The sequence below is a fragment of the Homo sapiens genome, chromosome 20 (genome assembly GCF_000001405.40).
Source record: "Homo sapiens chromosome 20, GRCh38.p14 Primary Assembly".
Lineage (NCBI taxonomy): Eukaryota > Metazoa > Chordata > Mammalia > Primates > Hominidae > Homo > Homo sapiens.
Window position 1 is genome coordinate 8,512,849 of NC_000020.11, and position 12,287 is coordinate 8,525,135.

General features: G+C 39.4%; 1 protein-coding gene across 2 annotated transcripts in view; it reads left to right on the top strand.

The window, feature by feature from the left end:
• The window catches only part of PLCB1 (phospholipase C beta 1), a 752,635-nt gene that overhangs the window by 380,583 nt on the left and 359,765 nt on the right, over nucleotides 1–12,287 (top strand). The gene's annotated exons all lie outside the window — the stretch shown is intronic.

Below are 12,287 nucleotides of genomic sequence, written 5' to 3' on the forward strand. Positions count from 1 at the left end.
TATTAACTCTAGTCACCTAATGTTTAATGGATCACCAGGAATTATTCCTCTTGTCTAATGGAAACTTTGTACCCTTTGACCATCATCTCCCCTTTTACCTCCCACCCTCTCCCAACGTCTGGTAGCTACCATTCTACTTCCTACCTCTACGAGTTCGAATTTTTAGATTCCACATATAAATGAGATCATGTAATATTTGTCCTTCTGTGCCTGGCTTATTTTACTTAGTATAATGGCTTCATTTTTTTAAAATGTTTAAACCAAAGGTTTCAATACATAAATCTAGACACAAACAAGTACTGTGTGATTCCATTTTTTATAAAGTTCAAGAACAAGCAAAGTTGATCAAAGACAAGAGACAAGAAACTTTCAGTAGTGTTGGACATATTCTTTAATCTTTGTGGAGGCCACACAGGGATATAGATGTGAAGAAATTCACTAAGCTATGCAGTCAGTATTAGAGCCCCTGGATGTACATGTGTTATGCAGTAATGAAGGGCACACACACACTCATTCATTCACACACAGCAAAAGCAATCTATGAAGTGACAACACGACACAGTGAACACTGTTTTCATGGTAAAGTTGCAATAAGACAAATTACATTATTTTTACAGTATAAACAATTATATTCAATTAAATGCACGAAGTGTGCTAGAATATATTGGATAATTCGGAACGAATACCTATACTGCAGGTGCTGAAGCCAAGAGAGAAACATCCCCATTGAAGTATTGTAAGAATTCTGTCCCCCCTGCCAGTTGCTATGAGATATCACTGAAATATGGTAGTGTTTTCTAAAATCTACTGCATGAGGATAGGACAAACATGCTTTCAGTGAAATGATAAAACGCTACCAGAACTAAAAGAAACAAAAGTGGTCAGGTGCAGTGGCTCATGCTTGTAATCCCAGCACTTTGGGAGGCCAAGGCAGAAAGATCGCTTGAGCTCAGGAGTTCAAGACCAGCCTGGGCAAAATAGTAAGACCTCTGTCTCTATTAAAAAAAAAGTTAAAAATAACAACAAAAAATTAGCTGGGCATGGTGGTGTGTGCCTGTAGTCCCAGCTACCAGGAGGCTAAGGTGGGAAGATGGCTTGCCCCAGCAGGTTGAGGCTGCAGTGAGCCAAGATCATGCCACCCCATTCCAGCCTGGACAACACAGTCCCTGTCTCAAAAAAATCAAAAAAGAAGAAGAAGAAAAAGTATTTTAAACCTGTCATTAAGAAGAAAAAAGATGTAATTACACACTTAGGGAGGCCAGAGTGGGCAGATTGCTTGATCCCAGGAGTTTGAAACCAGCCTGGGTGGGCCGGGCATGGTGGCTCACGCCTGTAATTCTAGCACTTTTGGTAGGCCGAGGTGGGCAGATTGCCTGAGCTCAGGAGTTCGAGACCAACCTGGGCAACACGGCGAAACCCTGTCTCTACTAAAAATAGAAAAATTAGCCAGGCGTGGTGGCGTGAGCCTGTAGTCCCAGCTACTCGGGAGGCTGAGGCAGTGGAATCACTTGAACCTGGGAGGCGGAGGTTGTAGTGAGCTGAGATTAGGCCACTACACTCCAGCCTGCGCTGGGCAACAGAGCGAGACTCCATCTCCAAAAAAAAAAAAAAAAAGGAAAAAAGAAACCAGCCTGGGCAACATGGCAAAACTCCATCTCTACAGAAAAATACAAAAAAAAATTAGCAAGGCATGGTGGTGTGCACCTGTAGTCCCAGCTACTCAGAGGCTGAGAAGAAAACAGATTATCTACCGTAATAAAGCAAGAAACCCAATCCCTAAACAATACTGTGCCCCATAGAGTAAAGCCGTTTCATTTCTCTTTTAGTACTTTTTCTACCCTAACAAAGAAAATTGTGGCTAAAAGTTAAAACAAAAACAGTATCTTTTTGCTAGTTTCATGATATATCTTGTATGTATGTATGGGTGAATATTCTTATATTATTATTTTTGGTTCATGTAAAGTAATTTTTCCAAGTGAATATCTAAGACCAATGCTTCTGAAACTTTAATAGTCATACAAATCACCTGAGGATTTTGTTAAAACTAATATTCATCTCCAGGAGTTCAGGGGTTAGGCTAAGATTCTGAGTTTCCAATAAGTACCCAGGTGATAGTAATGCTACTGGCCTACACACTACTCTTTGAGTAATAAGGTCTTAGATTAAAGTGGACTTGGGCCCACTAACATTGATTAGCTTATGACAGGAAGACAAAAAACAAAAACAAAGGAACAAACAAAAACATAGAAGGTAAAATGTTAAAATCAAGGCACAAAGTATTGCTGTATGGAAAGTGTCTGAATTTTCAATATATTCAGCCCTGGAGGAAGAGCTTCCCACTACCACTTATTTACTGTTTCTGTTCTAAACTGGCTATAATAGCCCTTCAATTATAGAGCTGTTTCAGTAATAGCATCTGCTTCATTATAACAGCAGTTTTATTAAACTAATAGTTGTTAGCATGAAGACACCATTACAGTAAATTACATTTATAATTATGGCTCTAAATATACTCAGGTTGCATACAATTATTAAAAATTTCCACCCTAATCATTTACCTTTCCTGAAGCTTTCCTCCTATCACATAGATGCTGTGAGCGTGTGTTAGTGTATGCAGGCTTTTCTATGAGGCTGCTTTCCTATATCCCATACAATTATTCAAACTGATGCCTGGTGTATCTAGAAATTTGTATTCCTAGCTCAGAGAGCAGCTAATTAGAACCTCCTTCCCAATCTCTACTTCCCACAATCTGGGTCATTTCCTTGTTTAGTGCCTTGATCAGAAATAATTTATTGTCTGGTTGTGCATGGCTTTGAGGGAGGCACAATATAAAGAAAAGTTCATATAAGAAATGTGCACATTTAACATCAATGCATAACAAACACCCCAAAGCATAGTGGCTTCAGCTAAAAACTGTCTATCATTGCATTTGGGACAGCTGGGAGTGCTTATCTAGATTTGGCTCAGCTGGGCAGGTTAGTTAAGGTGGCTCTGTTACACAGTGTCTTTATTAGTCTGTTCTCATGCTGCTAATAAAGACATACCCAAGAATGGGTAATTTATAAAGGAAAAAGGTTTAATGGATTCTACATGGCTGGGGAGGCCTCACACTCATGGCAGAAGGCAAAGGAAGAGCAAAGTCACATCTTACATGGCAACAGGCAAGGGGGCGTAAGGAGGGGAACTTCCCATTGTAAAACCATCAGCTCTTGTGAGACTTGTTCACTAACATGAAAATGGCACAGGAAAGACCCTCCCCCCTGATTCAGTTACTTCCCATCAAGCCCCTCCCACAACACGTGGGAATTATGGGAGCTACAATTCTAGAAAGACTTGGTCTGGGACACAGCCAAACCGTATCATCATCTCACATGTCCCCTCTGAGCCCAGGTCCTCCTGGCAGTGACCCAAGCACATGAGAACACATTCAACCATGACAGCACATTTCAAGCCTCCGCTTCATTGCTTCTGATAATATTACTCTGGCCAAAGCCAGTTACATAGTTAAGCTCAACTTGTGTTAATTTTGCCCACAATGAGGCCAAAGCAAGTCACATGGCCAAGATCAACATAAATGGAGCAGAGAAGTGTCATCTCCTATGGAAGTGAACAGAAATGAGTGATCATTTCAGAACAACAACCTACTCTATCAGAGATAGTTTCCCTTTTATACATGTAAGTACAATAATGTTGAAAGTCTCTGAGTTTATTTTCATAACATGCTAAATAGCCACAGTCTTATTTAGCCAAATTACAAACATTGGAATTGCATGGTTTCTTTTAGAATCTAAGGTTTTTATAGAAAATATAACATCATATATATATATATATATATATATATATATATATATATATATATATGTATTCCATTTTGATGCTATATACTACTAGTCAGTCACCTGTAAGAGTTTTTGACTAAAGTTTTCGGCAAGATAGATATAGTTGAGTCATGGTCAAGGTGAAAAGGGTATTCACTCAACAAGAAAACCATCCATCAAAGATTTCCTATGTGCCCTTTGTTACGGCTGTGCAGCTAAGTACAACACAGTTCCAGGCTTTACAGTTCTTAGAGTGTTTACAGACAAATAAGTAAGATGCTCAATATGAGGTGGTAGGTCCTGTGTACTGGGTGTATGCCAGATTTCACAAGGAGTGAGTTTAACCACTGGACAGCAGAGTGGGTGCTAGAGCTGACTCTTGAAGGATCAGAAAAAATTCACCACAATAGAGGGGTTGGGCGTTCCACATATAGAGATGACATTGGGCTGCATTCGGGGAGCCCACAAGTAATGGCATAGAAGTGTTTGTGTCTGATATCCCCTTCCAGACATCCCACAACCTAAAGAGCTAGACACTGAGGGGGCCTGCATGGTGAGCCTAGAGCCAACTCAAGATGCAGGAACAAAACAGAATTTATTGGAACATAGAAAGATATGAAACAACAGTAGTTGCTCTGAGAGGCGTCGTCTACATTTGAAATTGCTGGGTGTTGTGCTGAACCCTTATTAACCCCAATAAGGAAGGCACAAGATTCAAGAAGCCAAAGAAGAGACCCAGAGGCAACAAATGAGACATGGGGTTTTATTAAGGCTCACATACAGGGGAGAGAGGCCAGTGGTGGTGAGCTAAATATGATAACCTCATAGCCCAGTGGCAGTGGGCTGGGCGGGAAAACAGCAACTGCTAGCAATCAGCATGCACTTTATATAGCATTTCCACTTAACACCCTCCCCCAGTGACCTCCACCTGGCAACCTTCATATTGTAACCTAAAACTCTGGGCCTCAATCCCCTGTACGGCCTGTGTTCCACAGGACTGAATAGGATGGGACCGGGGCTCAGATGTTCCTCATGGACAAGGAATGAATCTCTGGATTGGCTACTCCTGGATTCCCTAGTTCAGAACATACATTCAGGTGCTATACAAGGTCATTCTAAGGTTATGCTTAAGTTATTGCTGTCAGGTATGTTTATCCTACACCAGGTTGATAAGACAATGATGTCATCAGTCAGAGCCACATAAACTTGACAGCCATTAAAAGTTTATCTTCCTGGCTAGGCGTGGTGGCTCACACCTGTAATCCTAGCACTTTGGGAGGCTGAGGCAGGTGGATCATGAGATCAAGAGATCAAGACCATCCTGGCCAACATGGTGAAACCCCGTCTCTACTAAAAATACAAAATTTAGCTGGGCTTGGTGGCATGCGCCTGTAGTCCCAGCTACTCAGGAGGCTGAGGCAGGAGAATCGCTTGAACCCAGGAGGCGGAGGTTGCAGTGAGCCAAGATCGCACCACTGCACACCAGCCTGGTGACAGAGGGAGACTCTGTCTCAAAAAAAAAAAAATTATCCTATTTTATTTGTTTTTAAGATAGGTTCTCGCTCTGTCACCCAGGCTGGAGTGCAGTAGCAATATCATAACTTACTTGTCTTCATTGACTAATGAATCCCAACATGCTGAGTTTGATTGTCACCTTTTCTCTCCCAGCTTCAGCAATACTATATGTTTAGAATTATAGAATTTTTTCACAGCTCACAAAGGAGCCTCTCAGGGGTGGGATGTAGGATAGGACTGAAGAAAGAAAACCCTACTGGGGAGAAAATATCAAGTGGAGACTGAGTATTCATTTCTACTCTTTGCTAAAGAGTAGTTAATGTACTCACAGTTTATGTTCAGAACATTGTCAGTTTCAGAGAAAGATTTCATTAGTTCATTAGTTTATCTATAAATTTATCCATCCTGTACTTATTGGGCATCTACTACAGCAGCAGTCCCCAGCATTTTTGGCACCAGAGATGGGTTTCATGAAAGACAATTTTTCCATGGACCAGGGCAGCAGGTTGGGAGGGCTGATGGTTTCAGGATGATTCGAGTGCATTAAATTTATTGTGCACTTTATTTTATTATTACATTATAGTCTATAATGAAATACTTATACAACTCACCATAATGTAGAATCAATGGGAACCCTAAGCTTGTTTTCCTGCAACTAGATGGTCCCATCTGGGGGTGATGGAAGACAGTGAAAGATCATCAGGTGTTAGATTCTCATAAGGAGCATGCAAAGTAGATCCCTTGCATGCAAAGTTCCCAGTGGGGTTCTTGCTCCTATAAGAATCTAATGCTGGGGCCAATCTGACAGGAGGCAGAGCTCAGGTGGTGATGGGAGCAAGGGGGAGCGGCTGTAAATACAGATGAAGCTTCACTTGCTTGCCTGCTGCTCACCTCCTGCTGTGCAGCCTGGTTCTTAGCAGGCCACAGACTGATAGCGGTCCATGGCTCAGGGGTTGGGGACTCCTGTACTACAGCATGCCAGACAAAATGCCCACTGAGGTTGGAAATGAAGCGAAAACAGACACACTCCTTGCTTTCTCGGTAGCTTACAGACTGGAGAGTAAGAAGGGCATTCCTACAGTGGTGAATACTATAGAGGAGTAGTAGACAACGTGTGTGAGTGCATTTAGTATGGAGCTGGGAGACATTTATGGGAGGAAAGATAAGGAAAAACTTCTCCGATGAAGGGACTTTAATCTGACATCAGAAAGAAGAGTAGTAGCAAACTAGGTAAACAAGGATGGGGATGAGGAAGTAGGAGGTACAAAATACAAAACGAAACAAAGCACAGAATATCTCCCAGAACAAAGCCCTCTTCATCCTGCCTGCTCTCTCTCCCCCATAGTGATTGACAGTTTGAGGAAGGGGGTTATTCTTAGGGATCAGAATATTTTTGTATAACTGCTTCCATTTTGTATAATTGCCTAGTTTCCCAGGGTAAATAAAGGCAGGAGACACATTCAGGGCCAAATACAGAACTCTATATTCTTACTTGAGAAACACACCAAAATGATATGCAAATATTACTATGTAGTATTTATGTCTTCCTTCTCTCCCCAAAATTCCCATGTGAAAATAAATTTTCTATGACCTATATACTGTCATTTTGCTTAATCATTTTAAGGCAATATGAGGACATCATGTATTAAATCCTGGAGAATTCTTAGTTTTCAGATTTCTTGTTGGATATTTCCTGATCAATAATGTGCAAAGGGAGATGATATTTGGGCCAGAACCATCAGTTTAAGCGTCTCTATATTATAAGAAATTCTGACTCAGGCTACTTAATGTAGTTTCTTTTTTAAAGCATGAATGCTTTAAAGTTCATGTTTTAGTCAAGAAGGAATTGCATTTTCTCAAACCTGGCAGGCCCAGAAAAAAGCTACTTAGAAAATCACACTTAGGTGACAGAATGATAAGAAAAGTCCCTTTAGGGGCCATTAGCACTTTGCCTGAAGAAAAACTGTTAGTGGTTCTTCCTAGCTTTTTAACTTACAGAAGCAGCACTGTTGGAAAGCTCTTGGTAAAAACAACAGAAGTAAAGCAGTTTATTTTGGAATCTCATGTTAGGAATTCCAGAATATCCCATTGGTTAATTTTAAGTTAGAGTCCTTATTATTGCAATTTCCATCATAATAGACATATTATATTTGTAATAGGTGGTGGGACAAAGACTAGAGTTTGGATATATCATAGAAATCTATATACCAAACTTTCATTAACTATTTTGCCAGTTAACCATGGCCAACTGATTTTTTTTTCTTTGTTCACCTCCTCCATAAAGTTAGATCTAAGATTCAAGTAACAACCTATGCACCTTTTTCTAACAGTACTTTATTAAAGTACAATTTACCTTTAGTAAAATGCACAAATGTTAAATGTACATCACACAGAACTTTAACAAATATACAAACTCATCTAACATCCAGATCAAGATATGGAATGTCACCCCAAAAATTCCATGTTGCCCTATTTTAGCTAACCACTCCACGACTAAAGGCAACTGCTATCCAATTTCTGTGGGTATAAATAACTTTTATTTCTTTTCAACTTCATATCAGTAGGACCATACAGTATGTAGTCTTTGGGGTCTGGCTTCTTTTACTCAAAATCTGTGCATTTTGAGGATTTCTGAAATATTAAGGATAGCCCAGGGCTTCTGCAAATGTCAGATGGACATACAACTCAATTTATATAAACACTGTGGGAAGTAAGCTAATATTTGTTAACCTGAAAGTTTCTGATTATCATGAAATGTCCCTAGGCAGGGACTATGTTGTTAGCTACACAATATCTAAGAAAACTATCCTAAGACAAATTAAATATAGAAATAAAATCACAGGCAATAGCAGATATATCTAAGCTTCTTATAGATAAGCTCATCCCAAGTACTCTTGAGGTGCAAAAAGAAAAGGCTAATTATAAATTATTCTTATCCATTTATTGAGGCTGTTCCCTTAAGGGCTAATTCTAGGTAATGCTTCATTAACCTTGTATCAGTTACTTGTTCTTGAATTTCAAAAATTCATTTTTTCCATAATTTTTATTAATTCAGTGAGGCCCTCCTTCTCATTTGTACAAATTAGTAAGATGTCAACCTACATGTGGAGTTCTGGAGATTCATCTTAAGACTTATAAAAGGGAAAAAAAAAAAAGAATAAGTAAAGGTATTGAGGGCCTACTACGTGCTGATGGCCAAGGTACTTTCACCTACATTAACAAATCAAATCATTTCAATAGGCCCTGTAGGGTGGCTCATGTCTGTAATCCCAGCACTTTGAGATGCTCAGGTGGGTGGATGGCTTGAGCCCAGGAGTTCAAGAACAGCCTGGGCAACATGGAGAAAACCAGTCTCTATAAAAAGTAGCAAAAATTAGCTGGGTGTGGTGGTGTGTGCCTTCCTCCCAGTTACTTGGGAGGCTGAGGTGGGAGAATCACTTAAGCTCAGGAAGTTGAGGCTGCAGTGAATTGTGATGGAGTGAGACTGCCTAAAAAAAATCCTTTCAATAAATTATGATTCACAGAATCCAATACATCCAATGATCCAATGGAATGCTAGTTCAAATACATTGGTACTTAAGCATGGACTGCATTCTAAAAGTTCACCTCTAACTCAGCTATTTTATCATAGAAACACAGATATATAACTAAACACCACTTTTTCAAGAAAAGGTAAAATTGTGAATTGCATTTCAACCACACAGAAACCAAACAAAGTTCGGGAGTGCAAACTATATTCTCCTTCTTTCTTAACATCAGATTTTTCCATTGTAGCAAATGTGATTAGGCAGGGCCTTGACTAAATCACTAGAACAGTGAGTGCTGACACTAAAGCTGGAAGCTAAAAATGCCTCCAGAAGATTGTCCTTGAGAGCCAAGAGTCACCTTCTCCTGTGATAGGCAGTCTGCTACTATCCCCATGCACCCTAAAGCTGGTATGCAAGGACTCTCTAATCCTGTGGTATGAAAATTCAGTCGCCTCACCTCAAGGCTAGACAGATACAGAGATGCAATGTAGGATCTGGAGCTCCCCTTGGATTGAACACACATCTTGCTTCCCTTCTTCCCTTACAAGCGTTTCCTGAGAGCCCTTCTTCAATAAATCATTTTCTAAGAATCTCTGTTACCTCCCCATCTCAGGCTCTGCTTCTAGGGGAAACCAATTTAATACACCCATTTTATCTATGACATCATCCTCATTCTGGCCTGTGGTTACGCTAACAATTTATCTTCTCCTGGAGTCCACTAAGAAGGACAAAAGCCATTCAGAATAGACCAATAAAATTCAAAGCCTAGTCTTCTTCCAGCACCCTATGATCTACACTTTCTCCCCAACTGACACACGTGGTCAAGCAGAATGCAACGCCCTTTTCTTGGAACCCAGAAAAGACAAATTAAGGAAAATGAGTTTGGAACAATGAAACAGTCTCCTGTGCAAATAAAGCAGACACTACCATTTTAAGTATGAATAATTGGAAAACAAGGCATTGAATAGTCTTAATTACAATAAGTATACGAAGCTTGCATTAGTCTTAATTACAATAAATATAAGAAGTTTTAAAACTAAGTGTTCTAAGCCACAAAAAAGTAAAATATGTCCTTGTTTGTACATTATTTCAAACATAGGAGGATAATTAAGATAAGAATGTGAAATAAAGGCTTATCTTTATTTAAGACTAATTTGTTGAGGCAAGAAAGTTGGTGGGGTGGGATGAGGCCCCTGCTTCTCAAATAAGGAAATCTTAAATTAAATCAATGCCAGTCAATTGCTGGGACATTTTAGTCAAACTGGGTGTAATGTGCTGGTTAAGCTATCAAATAAAATGTTGGCCATAGAGCATGATTCGTGGTCCTCAATGGAATCGGCAGTTGAGGATGAGATTGCTGTAGATGCTCATCATCCTCTACAGAAGTGATGAACTGAGAGCTTGTATCTTTGAAAGGGTCATATAATCCTTGGACAAAGGGGGTAGTAGGCCTGTTATCCCTGCTGCCTTTATTCATCCACCCATCTAAACAACCCTCCCCTCAGTGTTTACTGAATGCCAACTCTGTGCCAGGAACTAGTCTAGACACTAGGGATATAGTAGAAAGAGAATGTATACGGCTCAGGAAGTTGTGATTTAGTGAGGATTCAAAAGAAAGATTAGCAAGTCTTTGGAGCAAAAATTAGAGTCAAGAGGAAGTTTTGCAAATGATCCTGATCATAACAAATATGTGTGTGTGTGTGTGTGTGTGTGTGTGTGTATGGAGAGAGACGACAACAAATATATATATATTTGGCTCTCTCTCTCTCTCTCTCTCTCTCTCTCTCTATATATATATATATATATATATATGGAGAGAGACAACACCTCCAAAGAAAAGAGAAAAAAAGGAAAGCACATGACCGTGAACGAATCTAGCAGTATGAGAATTTGATTGAAAGTCTCAGGGAAGACCTGAGATATAGTGAATAGTTGGCCACAGATATGGTGTTAGTAGCAGACATCAGTTGGGTTACTGAACAACACTTTTAAACCCACTAAAAGGGGACAAATGGAATTTACTCAGAGCTTAGTATATTAAGGTTACTCAGATCATTGCGCATTGGGAGGGAAGAAGATGCTTGTGCATTGTCAGAGTTGAAAACTAGAGACTGTGTGCCTGAGAAATGCCCAGTGAGACACAGAGGAAGCAACTCCACGGATGCAGAAACCATGCCACCCAGAGGCCTGCATGGGGAGCGTGTGTTGTATGGAATCAACTGGGCGGAGTTAATACGTGAAATTTCACATTAACTAATTAATTAATTGGTTAATCAACTGATTGATTTTAAAATACCAAAAAGCTTCCAACAATCATTTCAAAATTTGATATATATGTTGAAAAATACAGCAACAAAACAAAGTATAAAATACAAACAAAATCTTAATTTATTTCAATGCTATGTATTAAAAGCCTTCATATCCAAAAAATAGCAAGATTGTTATTAAATACATTTACATACTCTAGTCAAAACTATAATATTCTATAAACTAACATTAGAGAAGATGCTTGAAGAAAAATAAACATTTAAAATACACCCATATGGCTTTAGGAATTCAGAAAATTCAATAAATCATGAAAAAAATGAACCTCCTGGGTTTTGTTTTGTTTTTTCCTTTGAGGGAGGGGAGGGGAACACTATGAGTTTTCTCTTTCTTTTTATTTTTTCAGTTTCTTTCTACAGGATACCTAAGCCTAGGTCAATTGTTTTTAATAACTTCGTTTTGCTAATCGGTCATGGCACTTGTTTCTCTCCTTAAATGCAAATTAGGATGAGAATAACCTTGTAAACGTGTCTTTGTCTTCTCAAGGTCATGTTTGGCCAACAGTATCAGTCAGGGTTTCTTTTTCCTTTTTTAAGCAGGCAGCCATGTTCTGATTAAATATTTATAAGTCTAGTTGAGTAAAGTTAAACGGAGCAGATGAGGCAATTAAGAAGTAAAACCAAGTGTCAAACTGCAGGGTCTCCTTAAATGATGCAAGACCTTGGGATCCTGACACTTTTCATTGACACTCTTTGTAAGCCAGAGTTGTTTTGTTTGTATGAAAAGTGGCAGTGCTGTCTAAGATTTACTGATCCCTGTTTAGAAGTCATCTAAAAATAATATCTGAGTAACTCAAACCCTCTCCATTTTCCCCAGAAATAGTTTTACTGTAGGGGTGAGATGTAGGAGAGGGAGGGAGCGTCTGTGTACTGCCACAGCTGGGAACATTACTGCACCTACTTCCTAGTGCCTTGCAGGCATCTTTGGGACTTGCTAAGAACCTTTGGAGAAGTGTAAGCAGAGGTTAATTGTTCAACCACCTGCTTTTAGAAAGATATAAATTTTATATATGTAAAATAATTTTTAAAATCATGATTAATAGCCTATATCCCTTCAGTTACTTTTACAAAGCCTTCCAATGTCCAGAAGGAAACTGCTGAC